Below are 27,422 nucleotides of genomic sequence, written 5' to 3'. Positions count from 1 at the left end.
ACTTGGGAGGCTGAAGCAGAAGAATGGCGTGAACCCAGGAGGCGGAGCTTGCAGTGAGCCGAGATCGCGTCACTGCACTCCAGCCTGGGTGACAGAGCGAGACTCCGTCTCAAAAAAAAAAAAAAATTGAGCCTATTGATAAAGTTTGGATATTTGTGCCTCCAAATCTCATGTAAAAATGTAATCCCAATGTTGAAGGTGGAAACTAGCAAAAGGTGTTTGGGTAATGGGGGCAGATCCCTCATGAATGTCTTGGTGTTTTCCCTGTGGTAATGAGTGAGTTTCTTGCTGTTGTTAGCTCATGTGAGATCTGATTGGTAAAAAGAGCCTGCCACCTTGCTCCCTTCTCTCACCATGTGACACTCCTGGTCCCCATTCCCACTGCCCCATGAGTAAAAGTTTCCTCAGCCCAAAGATGTTGGTGGTATACTTGTACAGCCTACAGAACTGTGAACCAAATAAACCTCTTTTCTTTATATTAATAATCTACCCAGTTTCAGGTATTCCTTTAACCTGAAACAGGCTAATACCACTATACTTCTTGCCTTTCAGTATTTCACTCTCCTGATTTTCCTATTACCTCTTTGGCAGCACCTTTCTGATCACCCTATCAAACCTTTAAATGGTGAAATTCCTCAGGGCTCTGGCCTAAGATGTCATCTTATTTCACATGAAACACTAGGCAATCTTACTCATTGTCCAAATTTCCATTACCAACTAAATTATAAAAATGTAACAGTGACTCCCAAATTTTATCTATTTGTATCTGTCCTCAGGTTCAGGTATAAAACTCTATATGCTACATAAACACTTTATTTTATTTTATTTTGAGATGGAGTCTCACTCTGTTGCCCAGGCTGGAGTGCAGTGGCTCAATCTCGGCTCACTGCAACCTCCAGCTCCAGAGTTCAAGCAATTCTCCTGCCTCAGCCTCCCAAGGAGCTGCAATTACAGGTGTGTGCCACCACGTCCAGCTAACTTTTTCTATTTTTAGTAGAAATAGGGTTTCGTCATGTTGCCCAGGTTGGTCTCAAACTCCTGGCCTCAAGTGATCCACTCACCTCAGCCTCCTAAAGTGCTAGGATTACAGTGAGCCACCTCACCCAGCCTACATAGACACTTGAAACGCTCCACAATTTATGACAAAATCTGCTCTTCCTGCTCTTTTCATATACTGGTAATGATATTTTCAATGACACATTGCTCACGCAAGACACCTAGTATACGTCATCTTTGACCACTTCATGCCTCACTCCCTAATCTCACTTTTAATCCATAACTGTATTGTGCCCTTCCTCTTCCTAAATACTGGTGAGATCTGCCTCTCTCTCTCCATCTCCACTATTACCCTACTTAAAGCAAGCATCACCTTTCATCAGGACCACTTCAGTCACCTCCTAAATGCAGTAGTCCCCCAGTTATCCATGGGAGAAACATTCTAAGAACCCCAGTGGATGTCTGAAACAACAAATGGTACTGAGCACTTGATTCTGTTTTTTGCTATACATACATACCTATAAAAAGTTTAATTTATAAATTAGGCACAGTAACAGATTAACAACAACAATAAAATAGAACAGGCTGGGTGTAGTGGCTCACACCTATAATCCCAGGATTTTGGGAGGCTGAGGCGGGCAGATCACCTGAGGTCAGGAGTTCGAGACCAGCCTGGCCAACATGGTGAAACCCTATCTCTACTAAAAACACAAAAAAATTAGCTGCATGTGGTGGCACGTGCCTGCAGTCCCAGCTAAGCAGGAGGCTAAGGCACAAAAATCGATTGAACCTAGGAGACTGCAGTGAGCCAAGATCGTTCCACTGCACTCCAGCCTGGGCAACAGAGAAAGAGACTCCACCTCAAAAAATTTTTAAAAATTAAAAAAAAAAAATAACAATGTACTATAAGAAAAGCTATATGAATGTGGTCTCTCTCAAAATGCAGTCTGCATAACAACAACCACATATACAGTGGTGGTCCCATGAGATTAAATGGAACTAAAAAATTCCTATTGCCTAGTGACGTAATGATGTAATAGCCATAGTAACATGACAGAGCAATTTTTAAAATAAATTTAGTGTACATTAAGTGTACAATGTTTATAAAGTCTATAGTAGTTGTAGCAGTCCATTCTCTCACTGCTATAAAGAACTACCTGAGACTGGGCAATTTATAAAGAAAAGAGGCTTAATTGACTCACAGTTCCACATGGCTGAGGAGGCCTCAGGAAACTTTCAATCATCACAGGAGGGGAAGCAAGCACATCTTACATAGCAGCAAGCAAGAGAAAGAGAATGTGTACATAGGAAAAAACTGCCACTTTCAAAACCATCAGACCGCAAGAGAATTCACTCGCTATCATGAGAACAGGATGGGGGAAACTGCCCCCATTATCCAGTCACCTCCCTCCTTCAACACATAGGGATTACAATTCGAGATGAGATTTCAGTGGGGATACACAGCCAAACCCTATCAGTAGTGTACAAAAATGTCCCAGGCTTTCACATTCACTCACCACTTACTCACTGACTCACCCAGAGCAACTTCTAGTCCTGTAAGCTTCATTCATGGTAAAGCCCTATACAAGTGCATTTTTTAAAATCTTTCATACCATTATTTTAGCTGTACCTTTTCTATGTTTAAAAACACAAATATGGCTGGGCGCAGTGGCTCACGCCTGTAATCTCAGCACTTTGGGAGGCCGAGGCAGGCAATCACGAGGTCAGGAGATCGAGACCATCCTGGCTAACACGGTGAAACCCCGTCTCTACTAAAAGTACAAAAAAAATAAGCCAGGTGTGATAGTGGGCGCCTGTAGTCCCAGCTACTAGGGAGGCTGAGGCAGGAGGATGGTGTGAACCCGGGAAGCAGAGCTTGCAGTGAGCCGAGATCGTGCCACTGCACTCTAGCCTGGGCTACAGAGCAAGACTCCGTCTCAAAAAAAAAAAAAAAAAAATTCACTGAACATTAAAAGAAAATACACAAAATAGGCTGGACACAGTGTCTCACGCCTGTAATTCTAACACTTTGGGAAGCCAATGCAGGCAGATCATGAGGTCAGGAGTTCGAGACCAGCCTAGCCAACATAGTGAAACTCCGTCTCTACTAAAAAAAAAAAAAAAAAAAAAAAAATGAGCTGGGCGTGGTGGTGTGCACCTGTAATCCCAACTACTCGGGAGGCTGGGGCAGGAGAATTCCATGAACCCAGGAGGCAGAGGTTTCAGTGAGTCAAGATCGCGCCATTGCATTCCAGCCCAGGCGACAGTGCAAGACTCTGTCTCAAAAAAAAAGAAAAGAAAATACACAAAATAGGACGGGTGTGGAGGCTCACGCCTGTAATCCCAGCACCTTGGGAGGCCGAGGCAGGCAGATCACGAGGTCAGGAGATCGAGACCATCCTGGCTAACACAGTGAAACCCCGTCTCTACTAAAAATACAAAAAAAGTTAGCCAGGCGTGGTGGCGGGCGCCTGTAGTCCCCACTACTCAGGAAGCTGAGGCAGGAGAATGGCGTGAATCCAGGAGACAGAGGTTGCAGTGAGCCAAGATCATGCCACTGCACTCCAGCCTGGGTGACAGAGCAAGACTCCATCTCGAAAAAAAAAAAAAAAATACACAAAATATATTAATAGGACTGTGATAAGGATGGTAAGATTATGAGTGATTTCTTTTCTCTATTCCAAATTATACCATTTCCGTTATATTGTCAAGTTTTACGGAAAAATGTCACTAAATGCTAATTAAATCTGCCCACTGAAGATAAACCTATAATAAATAAAACAGGATGTCTCAGCAACAACAATAAAAAAGAAACTATAAGCCGAGCGTGGCAGCACCAGTCTGCAGTCCCAAATACTCAGAAGGCTGAGGCAGGAGGATCACTTGTGCCTGGGAGTTTGAGGCTGCAGTAATATAATAGCAATACTGCACTCCAGCCTGGGCAAAAGAGCAAGACTTGATCTCAAATTAAAAAAAAAAAACAAAGAAAAAACAAAACAAAAAAACAAAGAATTTTTTAAATACTAAAAATACAACATGTGAAGTAAAAATTTCACTAGGCAAGCTTCATAACAACAAATCTGAGATGACAAAAGAGTCAGTGAACTTGAAGCTACATCAATAGATAGAATCTAATCTGAGGCCAGGCATGGTGGCTCACACCTGTAATCCCAGCACTTTGGGAGGCCGAGGTGGGTGGGTCACCTGAGCTCAGGAGTTCGAGACCAGCCTGACCAACATGGAGAAACCCCGTCTCTACTAAAAAATACAAAATTAGCCAGGTGTGGTGGCACACACCTGTAGTCCCAGCTACTCAGGAGGCTGAGGCAGGAGAATCACTTGAACCCAAGAGGCGGAGGTTGTGTTGAGCCGAGATCGCACCACTGCACTCCAGTTTGGGCAACAAGAGCGAAACTCCACCTCAAAAAAAAAAAAAAGAATCTAATCTGAAAGAGGAAATAGAGGTAAAACAAACAAACAAAAAAAAAAACCAGGGCTTCAGGGACCTACAGGACAGTACCAAAAGGTCTCACATGCATAACCAAAGGCCTTAAAAAGAAGAAGAGAGAAAGAATATGAGGCAGGAAAGAAAATTTTGAAGAAACGATGGCTGAAAATTTCTTCAATTTGAAAAAAGACACATTCACAGATTCAAGAATCTCAGCAAACCTCAAATAGTCAAATGCCTTGCTAAACAGCAAACACAGAGGGAAAAATCTTGAAGCACCAAAAGAAAATGTCACATTACACAGAGGGCAGAGGGAACAGTGACTGGATAAATGGCAGATTTCTCATCATAAAATATGGAAGCCAAAAGAAAGTAAACTAAAATACTTAAATTGCTAAGAGATAAAGCACCGTCAACACAGAATTCTAAATCCAACCACAATGCCCTTCAAAAATAAAGATGAAATAGGTACTTTCAGATAAAAGAAAGAAAACACAATTTATCACCAAAAGATATGCCCTGCAAGAAAGGCTAAAGAAATTCTTCAGAATTAAGACAAATGATGCTAGAAAATGCCAATCTTCAGAAGACTACCACAAATGGTAAATATCTGGGTAAACTTAGAAGACTTTCAACTCTTAAGTTCTTAACATTACATGATTATTGAAAGCCAAAATTATATTGTTGTTTTCTGGGGCTTATAATATACATAGTTCCAACACACATGACAATAGCATAACTGACAACAAACAGAGGTGATATAAAAGAACAACTTACAAGCTTTGTATACTTTACGACTTGTACAATATTACCCATAAGTGGTAATACTATAAAAACAGACTGAAAAGAGTAAAGAAATATACTTAAATTGCTAGAGGAATGTGCAAAAGAATTAAGTTGAAACCCTTCCTGATACTATACTTAAAAATTAATTCAAAAGTGAATCGCAGATCTAAATGTAAGAGCTAAAACTATACAACTTTAGAAAAAAACATAGGAGGTAAGTCTTTAGGACTCGGTTAAACAACAGTTTTTAGACATAACACTAAAAGCAGAGGCAATAAAAGAAAAAATAACTAGAATTTACCAAACCTACAGACTTTTTTGCTACAAACAAAACCATCAGGAAAGTAAAAGGATGGAAGAAATATTTACAAGTCTACAAGTCGCATGTCTGACAAGTAGTTTGTATCCAGGATACAGAGCTCTTCCACTCAAAAATAAAAAGCTATACAGCCCAGTTAAAAATTGAACAAAGGATCTAAATAGACACTTCTCCAAAGAAAATATATAAATGACCAATAAGCACATGAAAAGATGCTTAACGTCATTAATCATTAAGGATTAAAAATCAACACCAGGCCAGGTGCAGTGGCTCACGCCTGTAATCTCAACACTTTGGGAGGTCTAGGCGGGTGGATCACCTGAGGTCAGGAGTTTGAGACTAGCCTGGCCATCATGGTGAAACTCCAACTCTTCTAAAATTACAAAATTAGCCAAGCGTGATGGCGGGCACCTGTAATCCCAGGTACTCAGGAGGCTGAGGCACGAGAATCGCTTGAACCCGGGAGGCAGAGGTTGCCGTGAGCCAAGATATCACACCACTGTACTCCAGCCTGAACAACAGAGTGAGACTCTGTCTAAAAAAATAATATAATGAAAAAAATAAATAAAAATCAACACCACAATCAGATACTACCTCATGCCCTGTAGGATAGCTAAAACCAAAAGCCAAACAATAAAAAATGTTGGCAAAGAGATGGAGAAATTAAAACCTTCATATAGGCTGGGTGCGGTGGCTCACACCTGTAATCCCAGCACTTTGGGAGGCTAATGTGGGCGGATAACCTGAGGTCAGGAGTTCAAGACTAGCCTAGCCAATATAGTGAAACCCCATCTCTACAAAAATACAAAAATTAGCCCGGCATGATGGTGGGTGCCTGTAATCCCAGCTACTCGGGAGGCTGAGGCAGAAGAATCACTTGAACCCAGGAGGTGAAGACTGCATTGGGCTGAGATTGCGCCATTGCACCATTGCACTCCAGCCTGGGCAACAGAGGGAGACTTCCGTCTCAAAAAAAAAAAAAAAAAAACCTTCATCTATTGTTGCTGGTAATTTAAAATGTTACAGCCTCTGTCAGTTTTTCAAGATTAAACAGAGTTACAGCATGAAACAAAAATCCTACGCCCAAGAGAATTCAAAACAAATGTCTGGATTTGCAGACAAATGTTCATAATAACGTTATTCATAACATTGCAAAAGTATATACAACCTAAATGTCTATCAATTAATGAATGAGTAAAGAAAATGTAGTATAGCCATGCAACAGAATATTATTTGACAACAAAAGGGAATGAAGTTCTAATGCTACAAAACAAATGCTTGTACATTATGCTAGGAGAAAGAAGCCACTCACAATACACCATATATCATATGATTCCATTTATATGAAATGTCCCAAATAGGGATAGAGACAGAAATGAAGATTAGTGATTGTCAGGAGCTGGGGAAGTAGGGTAATGGAGAGTGACTGTTAATGGGCCAAAGGGCTTCTTCTTGAGGGGATACAAGTGTTCTAAAATTGATTGTAGTGATGTAGACACTGTTTCAAAACAAAACAATTGGCCGGGCGCAGTGGCCCACGCCTGTAACCCCAGCACTTTAGGAGGCCGAGGCGGGCGATTCACCTGAGGTCGCGAGTTCAAAACCAGCCTGATCAACATGAAGAAACCCCATTTCTACTAAAAATACAAAAATTAGCCAGGTGTGGTGGCACATGCCTATAATCCTAGCTACTCGTGAGGCTGAGGCAGGAGAATCGCTTGAACCCGGGAAGCGGAGGTTGCAGTGAGCCGAGATTGTGCCATTGCACTCCAGTCTGGGCAACAAGAGCAAAACTCCAACTCAAAAAAAAAAAAAAAATTGTGTATTAGCACGGATAGAAAAGTAAACACAAGGTGTCTGTAAGAAACACACTTTAAGTGAAGACACAAACAGGTCAAAAGTAAATGGAATGGCCGGGCACGGTGGCTCACACCTGTAATCCCAGCACTTTGGGAGGCCGAGGTGGGTGGATCACAAGGTAGGAGATCGAGACCAGCCTGTCAACATGGTGACAACCTAGCTCTACTAAAAATACAAAAATTAGCCGGGCGTGGTGGCGGGTGCCTGTAGTCCCAGCTACTCGGGAGGCTGAGGCAGGAGAATGGCGTGAACCTGGGAGGCGGAGCTTGCAGTGAACCAAGATCATGCCACTGCACTCCAGCCTGGGCGACAGAGCGAGACTCCATCTCAAAAAAAAAAAAAAAAAAGTAAATGGATAGGCTGGGTGTGCGGTGGCTCACGCCTGTAACCCCAGCACTTTGGGATGCCAAGGCGGGCACTTGATCACTTGAGGCCAGGGGTTCGAAACCAGCCTGGCCAACATGGCAAAGCCCCATCTCTACCAAAAATACAAAAATTAGCCAGGCACGGTGGCACACACCTATAGTCCCAGCTACTAGGGTGGCTGAAACAGGTGAACTGCTTGAATCTAGGAGGCAAAGGCTGCAGTGAGCCAAGATCACACCACTGTACTCCAGCCTGGGTGACAGAGTAAAACCTCATCTCATAAAAAAAACAAACAAACAAACAACAAGAAAAAAAAGATGGTGAGTGGCTACATAGTAAAGAGAGGGAGGGGCATTTCACAGTAAGTCAGACAATGAAGAAGTCATAATAATTATAAATGTATGCACCTAAAAACAAGGCTTCAAAATACATGAAGCAAAAATTAGCATAAGGCATAGTCAGAATACTCAGTGCCCCAAACGTGGTAAGATATTTTAACACTCCTCTTTGTGACTGACAAAACCAAACCAAATAAAAATAATAATAATAATCTAAGCAATGTTAAAACCACTATAAACATTCTTTTCAGGTAAACTTGGTGCATACCCCATGGAAGACCACATACTGAGCCATAAAGCAGGACACAATAAAATGAAAATAATGGAAATCATACAGATTATGTTCCCTAACCACATTAGAAAAAAAGATATAAAATTAATGACCTAGCAGCCGGATATGGTGGCTCACGCCTGTAATCCCAACACTTTGGAAGGCCAAGGCAGGTGGATCATCTGAGGTCGCAAGTTCAAGACCAGCCTGGCCTACATGATGAAACTCCATCTCTATTAAAGATACAAAAATTAGCTGGGCATGGCAGCGGGTGGCTGTAATCTAAGCTACCCAGGAGGCTGAGCTGAGGCAGGAGAATCGCTTGAACCCGGGATGCAGAGGTTGCAGTAAGCCAAGATCGCACCACTGCACTCTAGCCTGGGTGGCAGCACAAAACTCTGTCTAAAATAAAATAAAATAAAATAAAATAAAATAAGTAGGGTTCTACCTAAAGAACCTATATATAAAAGAGTAAAGTAAACCCAAAGTAAGTAGAAAAAAGAAATAGTAAAAATGAGAGCAGAAGAAATGAAAAGAAAAGTAACAGAGAATTTGAAGTCAAAGTTGGTCCTTTTGTCAGAGGCCTCTGAACCAGAATGCCTCTATCTTGAACAGGGGCTGGGGAAATCATAAGGCTGAGTCCTGCTGGACTGCAGTAAGTTATGCATTCTAAGTCACAGAATGAGATAGGAGGCTGGCACAAGATACAAGACATAAAAACCTTGCTGATAAAACAGGTTGTAATAAAGAAGGGGGCCAAAACCCACCAAAGCCAAGATGGTGACAAAACTGACCTCTGGTCGTCCTCACTGCTCATTATACACTAATTATAATACATTAACATGCTAAGAGACACTCCCACAAGCGCCATGACAGTTTACAAATGCCATAGCAATGCCAGGAAGTTACCCTATATAGTCTAAAAAGGGGAGGAACCACTAGTTCTGGGAATTGCCCACCCCTTTCCCAGAAAACTCATGAATAATCCACCCCTTGTTTAGCATACAATCAAGAAATACTCATAAAAATGGGAAACCAGCAGCCATGGCACTGCTCTCCCTATGGAGTAGCCATTCTTTTATTCCTTTACTTTCTTAATAAGTTACTTGCTTTCACTTTACTCTATGAATCCGCCTCAAATTTTTTCTTGCACAAGATCCAAGAACCCCTCTCTTGGGGTCTGGATTGGGACCCCCTTTCTGGTAACACTTTGGAAAAACCTAAAAAGTTGACAATCTGCAAGCTAAATTAATTTTTTTTTAAATAGGAAGAATACAAATTACCAATATCAAGAATAAAATGGGAATTACCTCTACAATCCCAAAGATATTAAGAAGGCCAAAGATTATTATTAATGACTTTATGCTAACCAATTCAACAGCTTAGATGAAAAGAAAAAATTATTTGAAAATGAAACTTATCAAAACTGATAAAACAGAAAATCTGAGAAGCATTTTAAGTTGAATTCATTATCAAAATCCTTCCCAAAAAGAAAACTCTAGACTCAGATTTTTTCACTGATAAGTTCCTTCAAACACTATAAATCAATCTCACACAAGTATTTCCAGAAAACAGAGAAGACAATGCTTCCCAAATCATTTTCTAAGTTTAGCATGAAGAATACCAATGAATATACCAAAAATACCAGCACTTGACAAAAAGCAACAAGATTACAACAAAATCCCTCCCATACAAAGTTGCAAAAATATTTACTATTAGCAATTTAAGTCCAACAATATATAAGAAGAATAGGCCAGTTGTGGTGGCTCACATGGATTACGAAAGTAATCCCAGCACTTTCGGAGGCCAAGGCGGGAGGATCACTTGAGGTCAGGAGACCTGCCTGGCCAACATGGTGAAACCCTGTCTCCACAAAAAAAATTAGCCGGGCATGGTGGCACGTGCCTGTAATCTCAGCTACTTGGGAGTCTGAGGCAGGAGAATCACTTGAACCCAGGAGGTGGAGGTTACACTGAGCAGAGATTGTGCCACTGTACCCATCACTAAAAAAAAAAAAAGAATAATACACCATGACACCAAATGGCATTTAGCGTAACATTTGAAAATAAAACAATGAAATTTACATTAATATCTTTAAAAACATAGCATTATCTCAATAGATACAGAAAAAGCTTTTGAGAAAACTCAATATCCATTCATGACACAAACCCTCAGGAAGCTACTCAGCTGTGTATTCTCCATGGCATGGCATGACTATTCCTCTTGGGGTCTGTGACTATAACAAACTATCTTTTCAATGGCAGTCATGCTGGGTTCTGTTGGCCTTGCCATATCTAAATAGTAATAAAAGCTATATTTGAAAGCAATCTGATAAACTTCATCAATAAAACCCCTACAGCTGACTTATAATTGATGGTGTAACACTGAATGCTCTCCTCTAAGAATGAAAACAAGATTAAGTCCATTCTGTAAGGGAAGAGAATAAAAGGAATTACAAATGGGAAAAAAGAGATAAAACAGTGTTTTATGACAATCATCTATTAGAAAAATCTAAGTAATCTACCTAAAAAACTAGTAGAATTAATATGACTTAAGTAAGGTTGTAAGAAACAGGTCAATATACAAAAATTCTATTTCCAACAAAAAATTAGAAATTTTTATAATACTTTATAATTGCTAAAAAATGTATTTAATATTTTAAAATAGCATCAAAAAAAAGACAAAATATTTAAAAATAATTTTAGGCCAGGCGTGGTGACTCATGCCTGTAATCCCAGCACTTTGGAAGGCCGAAACAGGCAGATCACTTGAGGTCAGGAGTTGACCAGCCTGGCCAACAATGGTGAAACCCTATCTCTACTAAAAACATAAAAATTAGCTGTGCTTAGTGGTACATGCCTGTAATCCCAGCTCCTTGGGAGGCTGAGGCAGGAGAATTGTCTGAACCCAGGAGATGGAGTGAGCAAAGATTGCACCACTGCACTCCAGCGAGGCAACAGAGTAAGACTCTGTCTCAAAAAAACAGGAAAAAAAAAAAGTAATTTTAAAACAGAAGACATGCAAGACCAAAGGCTAAAAGCAACAAACGACTGCTCAGACAAAGCAAAAAAGACCTAAATAAATGGAGAGATATACTATACTAATGATTAAGACTCAATCGTTGTTAAGATGTCAGTTCTCCTCAAACTGATCAACAGACTCAAGACAATTATAATCATGATCCCATCAGCCTTTCTTGGAGAAGACAGAAAAGAGATTATTAGAATTTATATGGAAATGTGAAGGACGGAGAATATGCAGAACTTCGAAAAAGAAGAAAAAGGTTTTAGGACTTGCAATTCTGACTTCAAGACAATATAAAGTTACAAAATTATCAGAATAACAGGGCTAGACAAACAGATTTTTGGAGCAGAATAAAGATTTCTGAAAGATATCCCACTTATGCAGCCATGTGATGTTCCCAAAGCAACCCAGTGAGAAAAAGAGACTGTTTTCAACAAATGGTGAAAAACAACTGGATAGCCATATGCAAAATACTCAAACCTACAAAAATAATTTCAGATGCATCACAGACCTAAATATAAATTAGCAAAAGCAAAACCTTTTAGAGGAAATAAAGGAAATTACCTTCATGACTTCGAGGTTAGGCAAAACTGTCTTAGCTCACAGTAAGCAATAACTACAAAAGAAAACACTGATAAATTAAACTTATCAGATATAAATATTTCTGCTCATCAAAAGGTACAGTTAAAATAAATAGTTAAACCATATAGACTTGGGGAAAGTATTTACAAAACATTTATCAGACACAGGATCAGTATTTAGGACATATAAACACCTTCTGCAACTCAAATAGATGAAAAAAGAAAACAAAGAATAGCAAAGGCTAAATGAACAAACTCATCACAAGAGAACACACGAATGGTCAACACACAAGCTAAAATGTGCTGAATATCATCAGTTATCATGAAAAAGTAAATTAAAACCACAATGATACCACTTCTGGTCAAGATGGAGTGAATAAAGGGGACCAGATATAGCCTCCTTGCACGAAATAATAAAAACCTAATAAAATGAATGAAACAACAGCACTGAAGATATTGGACAAGCAACAAAACACAGTCATCCCTGGAAGACAAAAAACAAATGGGCCGCACGTGTGCCCAGCTTACTGCCTTGAGAGAGTTTCCAGGTCGTGGAACAGGGAGGAGGAACCCAGGCAGAGCCTGTAGTCTCCCCAAGTTGAGGAAATGAAGCTGGAAGTCCAAGGAGGCCAAGGTGCCTAGAGCTCACAAGGGAGACCAGCACTGAGTAGAGAGCTGGAGAGAGAGAGAGAAATGAAGAGATCTACAAAGGCTCACCCTAGAACTTTTGGTTGAATGACAAATCAGCACTTGCAATGTAAAGGAGCTATCCAATGGCAAGATGAGAAATCACCAAAAGAATTAGAGGTAATAGCATCCAGAACTGACATAAGGATGTGAATAGTACCCATACCCAAAAGTCCAAAAGGAAATGATGTGATATAATTTATATCACATTGTAGATATGACATAGGAGTACTAAGAAAGTCTTCAGAAGGAGGAAAAAATTAACCCTAAACACAGCCCTGGTCCAGTCAAAGAAAACATGAAAGACCCAACAGAAAGAAACTGTTTTCAAGCAACTCAATAATGCCACAGAACAAAGTCCACAAATATTTGTAAAAGGCAAACAAAACTAGAGAAACTAGAAAACAAGGTAAAATTCACAGTGGCTAAAAAGTCAATCAAAATTTATAAGACTTACATAGAAGCAGGAAGTTACACCCCATAATGAAACAAAAAATAAACCAATTTTGAAATGAAACAGAAAAGAGAATTAGCAGACAAGTCCTTTAAAACAATTATGATGATATTTCATATGATCAGAAGGCTAGAAGAAACAAATATATTAAGTAAAAATATGAAATATTTTTAAAATTTGAACTTCTAAATTGAAAATTACAAAGTCTAAGATGAAAAATACACTTTGAGATTTACAACCCATGAAACCAAAATTACTAACCTAAATGAAACACAGAAAAAAAAAACCACTAAAAAATGTAATACGTGATAATTGAAATAATTTCAAGAGGCCAAACATACTTGTAACTGGAGCCACAAAACAGGAGATAATATAGAAAAAAAAAGTCTTTAGAAATCATGGCCAACAACTTTCACATATTTGATGGAAATTATAAGCATGTATAACAGGGCACTCTTTTAATGAACTATCAGTCACTGGAAACATGAAGAAAAGTGGCTGAGCGCAGTGGCTCATGCCTGTAATCCCAGCACTTTGGGAGGCCGAGGTGGGAAAATCACTTCAGGCCAGGAGTTCGAGACCAGTGTGGGCAACACTGCAGAACCCCATCTCTAAACACACACACACGCGCGCACACACACACACACACACACACAAATTGGCCTGGCACAGTGGCTCACGCCTGTAATCCCAGCACTTTGGGAGGCCGAGGTGGGCAGGTCACCTGAGGTCAGGAGTTCGAGACCAGCCTAACCAACATGGACAAACCCCATCTCTACTGAAAATACAAAATTAGCTGGGCATGGTGACACATGCCTGTAATCCCAGCTACTCAGGAGACTGAGGCAGGAGAATTGCTTGAAGCCAGGAGGCAGAGATTGCAATGAGCCGAGATCATGCCATTGCACTCTAGCCTGGGCAACAAGAGCGGCACCCCGTCTCAAGAAATAAAAACAAAAAACACACAAAAATTAGCCACAGGTAGTGGCACACACCTGTGGTCCTTCTAGCTACTCGGGAAGGCTAAGGCAGGAGGAGGTCAAGGCCATAGTGAGCCATGATTGTGCCACTGCACTCCAGCCCAGGCAACAGAGCAACACAGGAAGACCCGGTCTCTACAAAAAGATTTTTTAAAAATTAACTGGGTGGGCCGGGCATGGTGGCTCACACCTGTAATCTCAGCACTTTGGGAGCCTGAGGCGGGCAGATCACCTGAGGTCAGGAATTCGAGTCCAGCCTCGCCAACATGGTGAAACCCTGTCTCTGCTAAAAATACAAAAATTAGCCGGGCATGATGGCGCACAACAGTAATCCTAGCTACTCGGGAGGCTGAGGCAGGAGAATCGCTTGAACCCAGGAGGTGGAGTTTGCAGTGAGCCGAGATCACGCCACTGCACTCCAGCCTGGGCGAGAGCGAGATTCCATTACAAAAAAAAAAAAAAATTGGCTGGGTATGGTAGCATATTGCCTGTAGACCCAGCTACTGGGGAGGCTGAGGTGGGAGGATCATTTGAGCCCAGGAGGTGGAGGCTTAATGAGCTATGATTGTGCATGCCACTGCACTCCAGCCTAGGTGACAAAGCAACATCATGTTCAAAAAAAAGGAATGATACTAATAGCAGGACCAGCAGACAGAAAATCAGTAAGGATACAGAAGCTTGAATAACACCATTAACCAAACTGACCTAACTAACTATACAACACTCTACACAAACTACCAGAATACGCATTCTGTTCAAGTGCATTTGGAACATTCACCAAGATATACCATATTCAGGCCAAAAAAACAACTCTTGGTAAATTTAAAAGGTTTCAGGTGTTACCATGAATTTTTTCTTACAACTGTGATATTAATCTAGAAATCAGTGACAAAAAAAAATCAAAGACAATCCCAATATTTGGAATCAAAACATACTTCTAAAATAACCAGTGGGGGCCAGGAGCAGTGGCTCATGCCTGTTAATTCCAGCACTTTGGGAGGTCGAGGCAGGTGTATCACAAGGTCAGGAGTTCAAGACCAGCCTGACCAAGACGGTGAAACCCCGTCTCTGCTAAAAATACAACATTAGCCGGGCATGGTAGCAGGCTCCTGTAACCGCAGCTACTCAGGAGGCTGAGGCAGAGAACTGCTTGAACCCGGGAGGCGGAGTTTGCAGTGAGCCAAGATCTCGCTGCGGCACTCCAGCCTGGAGACAGAGGGAGAATCTGTCTCAAAATATAAAATGAAATGAAATGAAATAAAATAAAATAACCAAGGGGTAAAAAAAAAGACAAAAATATCAAGTATTTTTAAGACAGTTAAAGCAGTAATTGAAATAGAAATTTATACAATTACATGACTATATTAGAAAAGAAACAAATCAGTGATTTCACCTTGTTCCTTAAGAAACTAGAAGAGCAAAAGAAAGATCAGAGCAGAAGTCAATGAAATAGATAACAGAAAAATAGGGCACACTCAATGAAATCAAAGGTTACACTTACACTTCTAGGAGGATGGAATGGACATACTTTTCCCTATTCCTCCCACTAAGTACAAATTTAAAATGTGAATATTATAAATAAAACGAATTTTCTCTGAAAGGTGGAGAGAAGGCAAATTAGCTCAGGATCACAGGACACAAGGCACAATATAGCAGTAAATTCCCTGGGTATTCTCTTCTTTTTGCCTAATGTATCCTACTCCTGGAATGGAAGAAGTGAGTACATCAGGAACACCGATGGGCACTGACCAAATAAAAGAACCCCCAACAAGGCCGGGTGCGGTGGCTCATGCCTATAATCCCAGCACCTTGGGAGGCCAAGGCGGGTGGATCACCAGAGGTCAGGAGTTGGAGACCAGCCTGGCCAACATGGCAAAACCCCATCTCTACTAAAAATAAAAATTACCCGGGCGTGTTGGAAGGCGCCTATGATCCCAGCTACTCCGGAGGCTGAGGCACGAGAATTGCTTGAACTCGGGAGGCGGAGGTTGCAGTGAGCAGAGATCGCACCACTGCACTCCAGCCTGGGTGACAGAGAGAGACTCTGTCTCAAAAAAAAAAAAAAAAGAAGAAGCCCCAACAAAAGCCTTCTCTCTCCAGACCAGATTACCAGTAAAGTGGTATGTTAACCAGAAAGAAAACTTGAAGAGTAACTGCTATAATCCAGCATAACACCATAGAAAACCTAGCCCCACCCATACCAGCAATGATCACATGGGGAACCTAGATATCCACCCTCATGAGACTGTAATGAAAACAATCCAAGATTCCCACCAGGTAGTGTCAGAGAAAATTAAGCAGGGGATTGGAACCTTCATTCCAATTGGCTAGTTAATGAGCATCCACTCCCTACTGTGTCAGTGGAGAAAAGTAGGGAAGACTGGACTTCCACCACCATCTGCCAGTAATAAGGCATCCCTCCCTGTCCCTACTGGAGTGGTAGCAGAGAAGACCTAGTAGAGAGTGAGAACTTTCACCTACACACAGTAACAAACAAGGCCACATCCACCACAGAGATCAGGTAGAGAGCCACAACTCCCAATTCTGCAAACAACTAAAAGGAAGTTTGCCTCAAATGTCAACACAGACAAGGTAGATAACCTGAACTTCATCCCCTACCTGGCTTAACAAAGTGGCACCAACACTCTCCCCTTGTTAGATAAGTGTAAGAGAACACTAGTTAAAACAGTTGTTTAAGTAAGTGCATAGTCTCATGACAATACAAAAATGCCCAGGTTTCAATCAAAAGTTATTTGTGATACCAAAAAGATACCAAGGCCGGGCTCGGTGGCTCGCGCCTGTAATCCCATCACTTTGGGAGGCCGAGGTGGGTGGATCACCTCAAGTCGGAAGTTCGAGAACAGCCTGACCAACATGGACAAACTCCGTCTCTACTAAAAATACAAAATTAGCCAGGTGTGGTGGTGCATGCCTGTAATCCCAGCTACTTGGGAGGCTGAGGCAGGAGAATCGCTTGAACCCGGAAGGCGGAGGTTGAGGTGAGCCGAGATCATGCCATTGCACTTCAGCCTGGGCAACAAGAGCGAAACTTCGTATCAAAAAAAGAAGAAAAAAAATTTCAGTGGAACAAATATCCAAACCATATCAATGAACTAAAAAAAAAGATACAAAACACAATAAAGAAAAATGGTTTGGCACAGTGAATTGGGGTAGAAGAAAAAAATAAGAAAAATGGAATTCCAAAAATGTTCAAGTAACCCAAAAGAAAGCAAGAAAAACAGTCAAAAAAACAAAAACTAAAACAAGGCATGGTGGCTCAGGCCTGTAATTCTAGCACTTTGGGAGGCCAAGGTAGGTGCATCACCTAAGGCCGGGAGTTCAAGACCAGCCTGGCCAACATGGTGAAACCCCATCTCTACTAAAAATATAAAAATTAGCTGGGCTTACAGTAGATGCCTGTAATCCCATCTACTCGGGAGACTGAGGCACAAGAACTACTTGAACCCGGGAGGCAGAGGTTGCAGTGGGCCAAGATTGAGCCACTGCACTCCAGCCTGGGCAAGAGTAAGACTTTGTCTCAAAAAAAAAAAAGGGGGTGGGGGGGAGTCTGACAACATCTATAACTATGTAAATGACCCAAATACCTAAATACAGCAAATAAAAGACAAAAACTGGCTAGGTACAGTGGCTCACAACCGTAATCCCAGCACTTTGGGAGGCCTAGGAGAGCAGATCACCTGAGGTTCAATGTTCAAGACCAGCCTGACCAACACAGTGAAAACCCATCTCTACTAAAAATACAAAAAAAAATTTAGCCAGGCGTGGTGGTGGGCACCTGTAATAGCTACTCTGGAGGCTGAGTCAGGAGAATCGTTTGAACCCACTAGGTGGAGGGTGCAGTGAGCCGAGATCATACCACTGCACTCTACCCAGGGTGACAGAGAGATACTCCATCTCAAAAAAAAAAAAAAAAAAAAAAAAAGCCAAAGATTGACAGACTGGATTTTAAAAACATAACCTAAAGCCAAGCATGGTGGCTCATGCCTGTAATGCCAGCAGTTTGGGAGGCCATGACAGGAGGGTCTCTTGAGCCCAGGAGTTCGAGACCAGGCTGGGCAACATAACAAGACTTGGTCCCTACAAATAATAAAAAAATCAGCCAGGTGTGATGGTGCACACGTGTGGTCCCACTTACTTGGGAGGCTGAGATGGGGGAACAGTTTGAGCCCAGGAGGTCCAGGCTGCAGTAAACCATGATTGTGCCACTGCAATGCAGCCTGGGTGACAGAGCAAGACCATGTCTCAAAAAAAAAAAAAAAAAGGCCAGGCACAGTGGCTCACACCTGTAATCCCAGCACTTTGGGAGGCCGAGGAAGGCAAATCACGAGGTCAACAGCTCGAGACCAGCTTGGTCAACACAGTGAAACCCCGTCTCTACTAAAAATATAAAAAATTAACCAGGCATGGTGGCGGGCGCCTGTAATCCCAGCTACTCGAGAGGCTGAGGCAGAAGAATCGCTTCAATCCGGAAGGCGGAGGTTGCAGTGAACCAAGATGACACCACTGCACTCCAGCCCAGGCTACAGTGCAAGATTCCATCTCAAACAAACACAAAAAACAAAGAAAACATAACCTAACACTATTTTGTGTACAAGAAATTTACTTCAAATAAGCACGTTGAAAGCAAAAAAAAATTAAAAAGGTATATGATGCAAACATTAATTAAAGAAAAGCTGGAGTGACTATATTAACATCAGAAACACTATACTTTTGAGCAAAGAAAAAGTACTAGAGACTAAGAAGGAAATTATTTATGGAGAGAGAGGTCAATCCACCAAGAGGACATAACATTCCTAAATGTGTATGCACCAAAAAACAAGACTACAAAATATGTAAAAGAAAAGCTGATGGAACAGAGTGGAGAAATGCACAAATCCACTATAGAGACTTCAATATTTCTCTGTAATAACTGTTAAAACTATACATATATTCATAGCAAGAATATTTAATTCAACGCTATGAACTAACTGGATCCATGAACATTTTACAGAACAACAGAACATTCCACTCACCAAGAGTGGAATACCTTTTTTTTTTTTTTTTGAGATGGAGTTTCGCTCTTGTTGCCCAGGCTAGAGTGCAATGGTGCGATCGCGGCTCACTGCAACCTCCACCTCCTGGGTTCAAGCAATTCTCCTGCCTCAGCCTCCCAAGTAGTTGGGATTACAGGCATGTGCCACCATGCCCGGCTAACTTTTGTATTTTTTTAGTAGAGATGGGGAGACTCTGTCTCAAAAAAAGAAAAAGAAAATAGCCAAAACTGATGAACAGAGGACATATAAAGGTACTAGTGCTTGTCTCAACAGCACATATACCAAAATTGAATCAATACAGAGAAGATTAGCATGCTCCCTGAACAGTAATGACACGCAAATTCTTAAAGTGTTCCATATTAAAAGAAAAAAAAAAAAGATACCAAATAAGCACCTGAAAAGATGGTCAACATCATTAGCCACTAAGTAAATACGTATTAAAAACACAATGACGCGTGTGTAGTGGCCTGTAATCCCAGCACTTTAGGAGACCAGTCGGGAGCATGGCTTTAGCTCAGAAGTTCAAAACCAGCCTGAGCAACATAGCAAGACCCCATCTCTTCAAAAATACATTTTTAAAAACAATGGCTGGGTGTAGTGGCATACACCCATAGTCCCAGCTACGCGGAGGGTTAAGGCGGCAATAAGCCATGATCATGACACTGCCCTTCAAACCCTAGGTAACAGAGCAAGACCCTGTCTCAAAAAAAAATAATAATAATAGGCCGGGCACGGTGGCTCATGCCTGTAATCCCGGCACTTTGGGAGGCCAAGGCGGGTGGATCACGAGGTTAGGAGATCGAGACCATCCTGGCTAAGACGGTGAAACCCCGTCTCTACTAAAAATACAAAAAATTAGCCAGTCGTGGTGGCAGGAGCCTGTAGTCCCAGCTACTCGGGAGGCTGAGGCAGGAGAATGGTGTGAACCTGGGAGGTGGAGCCCGCAGTGAGCCTAGATCGCGCCACCACACTCCAGCCTGGGCGACAAAGCAAGACTCTGTCTCAAAATAATAATAATAATAATAATAATAATAATAATAATACACACAGTGAGATATCACTACCCGCCTATCAAAATTACTAAATGAAGACTTATGCTCACATGAAAACCCATGTAATGTTTATAACAGTTTTATTCTTAATAACCTACAAGTGGAAATAACTGAGATTATCTTTCAGCAAATAAGTAATTAAACAAAACGCAGTTTAACTGTAACAAATACTAAGCAACAACCTGGAGGAATCTCCAAGGAATTAAACCAAGTGTAAAAAACTCAATCCCAGAAAGTTACATGTTGTTTTGTTCTGTTTTTAGACAGAGTCTCACTCTGTCGCCCAGGGTGGAGTACAGCGGCACAATCTCAGCTCACTGCAACCTCTGCCTCCTGGTTTCAAGCAATTCTCATGTCTCAGCCTCCCAAGCAGCTGAGATTACAGGTGCCCGCCATCACACCTGGCTAATTTTTGTATTTTTAGTAGAGACAGGTTTCACCATGTTGTCTAGGCTGGTTTCAAACTCCTGACCTCAAGTGACCCACCCGCCTCAGCCTCCCAAAGTGCTGGGATTATAGGCCTGAGCCACGCGCCGGGCCTCCAGAAAATTACAAGTTCTATCATCCCATTTATATAACATCCTTGAGGTAACAAAATTACCAAAATGAAGAATACCTTAGTGGTTATGACTAAGTCTGGCGGCAGGAGGAAAGCAGGTGTGGCTATAAAAGCACAGCAGGAAGGGAGAGGATTCTGGGAAGATGGTGCAATAGGAAGCACCAGGAACCTGAGGTTGGGAGTTCAAGACCAGCCTGACCAACATGGAGAAACCCTGTCTCTACTAAAAATACAAAATTAGCCAGGTGTGGTGGCACATGCCTGTAATCCCAGCTACTCAGAAGGCTGAGACAGGAGAATTCCTTGAACCCAGGAGGCGGAGGCTGTGGTGAGCCAAGATCGTGCCATTGCACTCCAGCCTGGGCAACAAGAGTGAAACTGTCTCAAAAAAAAAAAAAAAAAAAACAAAAAAAACAAAGTATATGTAAGTCAGCAATGAAGAAAACGCAAGATTCGTACACAGAAAAATCACAAAACTTTACTGAAATAAACTGAAGACAATATAAATAAATGGAAAGACATTTCACGTTCTTGGATTGTAATACCTTAATGTTGCTAAGATTTTACTACTCCAAAGCAATCTCCACGCCAGGTGTGGTGGCTCACACCTGTAATCCCAGCACTTTGGGAGGCTGAGGCAGGTGGGTCACTTGAGGTCAGGAGTTTGAAACCAGCCTCGCCAACATGGTAAAACCCTGTCTCTACTAAAAATACAAAAATTAGCCGGGCGTGATGGCGGGCACCTGTAATCTCAGCTGCTTGGGAGGCTGAGACATGAGAATTGCTTGAACCCAGGAGGCAGAGGTTGCAGTGAGCTGAGATTGTGCCACTGCACTCCAGCCTGGGCAACAAGAGTGAGACGCCGTCTCAAAAAAAAATAAATAAATAAATAAAAAAACAAAAATAAAAAAAAGCAATCTACACATTCAATAAAATCTCTATCAAAATCCCAAGAATGTTTTTGGCAGAAATAAAAAAAAAATACGTTCTAAAACTCATGTAGAATCTCAAGGGACCTCAAATAGCCAAAACAATCTTGAAAAGGAAGAATAAATTTGAAGACATCACACTTCCTGATTTCAAAACTTACTACAAAGCTACAGTAATCAAAACAGTGTTGCCAAGCACAGTGGCTCACGCCTGTAATCCCAGCACTTTGGAAGGCCGAGGCGGGCAGATCAACCAAGATTGGGAGTTTGAGACCAGTCTGACCAACATGGAGAAACCCCGTCTCTACTAAAAATACAAAGATTAGCTGAGCGTGGTGGGGCATGCCTGTAATCCCAGCTATTCGGGAGGCTGAGGCAGGAGAATTGCTTGAACCCAGGAGGCAGAGGTTGCAGTGAGCCAAGATTGGGCCACTACACTCCAGCCTGGGCAACAAGAGTGAAACTCCACCTCAAAAAAAAAAACTGTTGTACTGGCATAAAAACAGAGCACTGAAAGAGAATAGAGAGTTCAGAAATAAACTCTCGCTTATATGGTGAAGTGATTTTCAACAAAAGTGCCAGTATCATTCAGTGGGAAAGAGAGTCTTTTCAACAAATAATGCTGGGAAAACTGGATTATCTACATGCAAAAGAATGTAGGTGGACACTTATCTTACACTGCACACAAAAATTGGCTCAAAATGGATCAAACACCTAAACTTAAGAGCTACCACTGGGCCGGGTGCAGTGGCTCACGCCTGTAATCCCAGCACTTCGGGAGGCCGAGGTGGGCGGATCACGAGGTCAGGAGGTTGAGACCATCCTGGCTAACATGGTAAAACCCTGTCTCTACTAAAAATACAAAAATTAGCCGGGTGTGGTGGCATGTGCCTGTAGTCCCAGCTACTCGGAAGGGTGAGGCAGAAGAATCGCTTGAACCCAGGAGGCAGAACTTGCACCCAGGAGGCAGAACAGAGCCAAGATCTCACCACTGCACTCCAGCCTGGGCAACAGAGCAAGGCTCCGTCTCAAATAAATAAATATATAAATAAATAAAAGAGCAACAACTATAGAAACATTTAGAAGAAAACACAGGGGAAAATCTTCACTGCACTAAATTTGACAATCATTTCTTGGATATGATACCAAAAGCACAAAAAACAAAAACTAAAAAAAGATAAATTGGACTTCACCACAATTAAAATCTCTGTGCATAAAAGGACATGACTCTCAACAGAGCGAAAAGACAACACACAGAATGGGATAAAATATTCACAAATCATGTATCTAAGAACGGTCTGGAATCTAAAATTAGATACTGGGTCTAGGATCTAGAAGTAGATAAAGAATACTGACATTTCAACAACAAAAAGTCACACAAAAAGAGCAAAGGACCTGAACAGAAAATTCTCCAAAGAATACACACAAATGGCCAAGAAGCAGATGAAAAGATGCTTGTATCACTAATGACTGGGAAAATGCAAATCAAAACGACAAGATACCACTTTACATCATTAGCAAGGCTATCATCAAAAACCAGAAAATAGACCAGATGTCATGGCTCACACTTGTAATCCTAATACTTTGGGGAGGCTCAGGCAGGAGAATTGCTTGAGTCCAGAAGTTCAAAACCAGCCTGGACAACATAGTGAAGCTACCTCTCTACAAAAATCAATAAAATTAGGTGGTGGTGGTGGTGGTGGTGGTAGTACGTGCCTGTGATCCCAGCTACACAGGAGTCTAGGTGAGACAACTGCCTGATCCCAGGAGGTTGACGCTCCAGTGAGCCATGTTTAAGCCACTGCACTTCAATGCTGAATGACAGAACTAGACCCTGTCTCAAAAACAGTAAGAACAACAGAAAATAAGAAGAATTGAAGAAAACTGAAAAAGACTTGAGTGGAAAAAGACTGAACCTTCATGCATTGTTGGTAGGAATACAAAAAGCTGAAGTCTCTGTGAAAAACATTTTGGCAGTTCCTCAAAAGGCCAAACAGGCCAGGCGTGGTGGCTCAAATCCCAGCACTTTGGGAGGCCCAGCCCGGGCAGATCACCTGAGGTAGAGAGTTCGAGACCAGCCTGACCAACATGGAGAAACCCTGTCTCTACTAAAAATACAAAATTAGCCGGGTGTGGTGGCGCACGCCTGTAATCCCAGCTACTCAGGAGACTGAGGCAGGAGAATCACTTGAACCCGGAAGGCGGAGGATGCAGTGAGCCAAGATCACACCATTGCACTCCAGCGTGGGCAACAAGAGTGAAACTCCGTCTCAGGAAAAAAAAAGCCAAACGGAATTACCATGTGATCCAGCAACTTCATTCCTAATGTACACCCACCCGACCCAAAAAAAAAAGATTCAAACAGATGCTAGAATACCAGTGTTCAGCTCAGCATTATTCACAATAGCAAAAAGGTAGAAACAACCCAAGTTTCCATCAACAGATGAATGGATAAACAAAACACGGTATATACATAACAATGGATTATGTAGTATTCAGCTATAAACAAGATTCAAATTCTGGTACATGCTACAACATAGACGAACCTTGAAAACATTCAAAGTGAAATAAGCTACGTACAAAAGAACAAATATAAGATTCCACTTACATGAGTAGCTAAACTAGGCAACTTGAAAGAAAACAGAAGTTACCAGGGGCTATAGAGAGGGCGAAATGAGAGTTATGCTTACAAGGTACAGAATTTCTCTTTGGAATTAGTTCTGGAAATATATACTGCTGACGGTTATAAACACTGTGAATGTACTTAATGCCACTAAACTGTATACATAAAAATGGTTAAAATGGTATATTTTGTATTATGTGTATTTTACCACAATGAATATGGAAAATCTGAATAATCAGATTACCATGTTCATGGATTCAAAAATTCAAAACTATATATAAAGATGTCCATTCTTGCCAAGCGCAGTGGCTCATGCCTGTAATCCCAGCACTTTGTGAGGCCAAGGCGGATCACAAGGTCAGGAGTTCGAGACCAGCCTGGCCAACATAGTGAAACCCCTTCTCTACTACAAATACAAAAATTAGTCAGGCGTGGTGGCGGATGCCTGTAGTCCCAGCTTCCTGGGAGGCTGAGGCAGGAGAATCACTTGAATCCAGGAGTCGGAGGCTGCAGTGAGCCAAGATTGTACCACTGCACTCCAGCCTGGGCGACACAGCAAGATTCTGTCTCAAAAAGAAAGAAGAAGTCCATTCTCCCCAAACTGATATACACAATCAATGCAAACTCAAACAAAACACTAGCAACATTTTTGTGGAACATTATGGTTCAAAATATTTATCAAATGCAAAGAGCTAAGAAGTGGCAAGATACTTAAAACAACAACAAAAAAGGAACACAATATAGAAGGACTAATTCTTTCTGGTATCTTGTATCCAGAGTTATTATTAATATGAAGCTATAGTAATTTTAAAACTGTGGTTCTCGCACAAAGGCACATAAAAAGAACACAAAGTTCAGAAAGAAATGCATACAAATATTAACAGCTGATTTATGACATAGTGCCACTGTGGAACTGAGAGGAATAGTGTCAAAACAAATAGATGTCTCTACTTAAAATTTAAAAAAATAAAAATTTTTTGAAAAGAGGTTGGGCACAATGACTCATGCCTGTAATCCCAGCACCTTGGGAGGCCAAGGAGGGAGGACTGCGTGAGGCCAGGAGTTCAAGACCAGCCTGGGCAACATAGCAAAACCCCACCTCTATTCTTTAATTAAAAATTAAAAAAAAAAAAGAAGAAGAAACTTGCTCAGTCATATATTTAGTTCATCTGACTCCAAAGCCCATGATCATATTTTGATTTTTTTCTTTTTTCTTAGAGATAGGGTCTCCTCTGTCACCCAGGCTGGAGTAGAGTGGCAGGATCATGATCATAGCTCACTGCACCCTTAAAGAGTGAATGAATAGGAGTTTATGTTATTTTAGGATATTTAATATACTTAAACCTAAAATTTTTAGAAAAGGATTTGAGGCAGTCTACAATAAAGGACAAGTATTATAACAATTAAAAAAAGAAAAATAAGGCCAAGCACAGTGGCTCACGCCTGTAGTCCCAGCACTTTGGGAGGTCGAGGTGGGTGGATCACCGGAGGTCAGTAGTTCGAGACGAGCCTGGCCAACATGGCAAAACCCCATCTCTACTAAAAATACAAAAAATTAGCTGGACGTGGTGGCAGGCACCTGTAATCCCAGCTACTTGGGAGGCTGAGGCCAGAGAATTGCTTGAACCCGGGAGGCAGGGGTTGCAGTGAGCCCAGATCGCACCACTGTACTCCAGCCTGGGCAAAAGAGCGAGACTCTGTCTCCAAAAAAAAAAAAAAAAAAGAAAAAAAAAAAGAAAAATAATAAAAGCCAGTATGATAGACATCTATTGTTTTTCTGCTTCATAAGCATCCCCCTTGTTTTGCAAACAGCACCCACCCCCCTGCATTATGGAAACTGCTCTTACCCCTGACTCCAACTATGTAGTTCTAGTGAGGGTTGCCATTCACAGTACCCTCCCCACTCCAGCCACAGAGATGATGGGCACATGATCCAAGACAGGCCAATCAGAGTCCTTTCCAGGATTCTTCTAGAGAGCCCCTTCTTCTGGTAAAAGGGGCTGGAAACAAGAGCTGCCAGCAGTCATGGTTCCAGCCTCATGAAGTAGAGTCTGTAGTATGAGAGAATGAAATCAACACGCAGAGAAACAGAGATAAGAGGTGAAGTCCTAAACCCCACGGAAGGAGAAAGAGGGAACAAATATACTAATAATGATATTAATATAGCTGATGTAACTAAAGACCAGATTTGGTTCTAGGCTGCCTGGTAACCAGGACAAAAAGACAAACAGAATGTATTTCACAGATCTATCAAAAAGGAGGAAATATACCAGATACGCAAGGGAGATAATTTTCCTGATGCTTTATTATTAAAAGAACTTCTTGTACGTGGATCTTTTATGTTAAGAGTCACTGAAGAACAAAATGGACAGTGTCCATGATGAAAGTGTTATATCAAATACAGATTTCATAAACTATTACTTATAATAACTGAGTTATAACTCAATCATTAAGCACAAGGGGAAAAATAACAACACAGTAGGCATTTGAAGAAGTGAATCAACTAGTTTTATTTTTTCAGGAAGTTTAACAGCGAAGAGGAAAAGACAAAAGGGCAAAAATGTAAATGGAAAGCAGAATTCATGAGATGATTCAAAAATGTTTGTGAGTTGAGTGGGAAAAAATCAAGTAAACAGGATAGACTGAAGACTAGTACTTGGTAAAACAAAACCCTGTAAGAAATATAAAAGACCACATCAGAAACACAAGTAGTTAATTCCACTTAAACACTACCACCTCTCCTTCTTGAAACGCCAAATGACAACTGAGATAAATGGCATAAAGCCATAAATATAAAAAAGAATATCCCTGGAAACTAGAAAGGACATATGACAAGTGGTAAATGACTGAGGACCGAAGAAAGCTGCTGTAGTAAGACAAGCCCAAAAGCAATGCATCAGAGCACCAGAAACTGGAGGAACGTTAGACACCAGGCATCGGGGGTGGGGAGATGCACATGCGCAGTGATGTTCTATGTATCCAGGAGTGACGTTTTCAGATGAGGCTAACCAACAGGAATTGCATACCATCTGAAAAGCAATCAAAACAATCCCTTATTCACTACATACTAACGCGTAACTGGCTCTCACCTGCCC

General features: G+C 41.4%; 1 protein-coding gene and 2 pseudogenes across 8 annotated transcripts in view; 1 reads left to right on the top strand and 2 right to left on the bottom strand.

Moving 5' to 3' along the window:
• The window catches only part of MLLT10 (MLLT10 histone lysine methyltransferase DOT1L cofactor), a 209,875-nt gene that overhangs the window by 159,632 nt on the left and 22,821 nt on the right, over positions 1 to 27,422 (bottom strand). For 4 of the 8 annotated variants that reach the window (NM_001324296.2, NM_001195627.2, NM_001195630.2 and 1 more), the window contains one exon: positions 26,813 to 27,356. The exons of 2 other annotated variants lie outside the window; for them this stretch is intronic. In NM_001324296.2, coding sequence (NP_001311225.1) covers positions 27,057 to 27,356 — 300 coding nt within the window. In that variant the 3' untranslated portion in view covers positions 26,813 to 27,056. Of the gene's footprint in view, positions 1 to 26,174; positions 26,379 to 26,812; positions 27,357 to 27,422 lie in introns of those variants that run through there. 2 more of the 8 variants (NR_136736.2, NM_001324297.2) reach the window with 1 other exon arrangement.
• Positions 3,329 to 3,866, bottom strand: LOC100422524 (solute carrier family 4 member 8 pseudogene; annotated as a pseudogene).
• RNU6-306P (RNA, U6 small nuclear 306, pseudogene) lies at positions 19,422 to 19,528 on the top strand (annotated as a pseudogene).

The sequence above is a fragment of the Homo sapiens genome, chromosome 10 (assembly GCF_000001405.40).
Source record: "Homo sapiens chromosome 10, GRCh38.p14 Primary Assembly".
Taxonomy (NCBI): domain Eukaryota; kingdom Metazoa; phylum Chordata; class Mammalia; order Primates; family Hominidae; genus Homo; species Homo sapiens.
The sequence above is the reverse complement of the archived record's forward strand: the minus strand, read 5'-3'. Positions and strand labels throughout refer to the sequence as shown.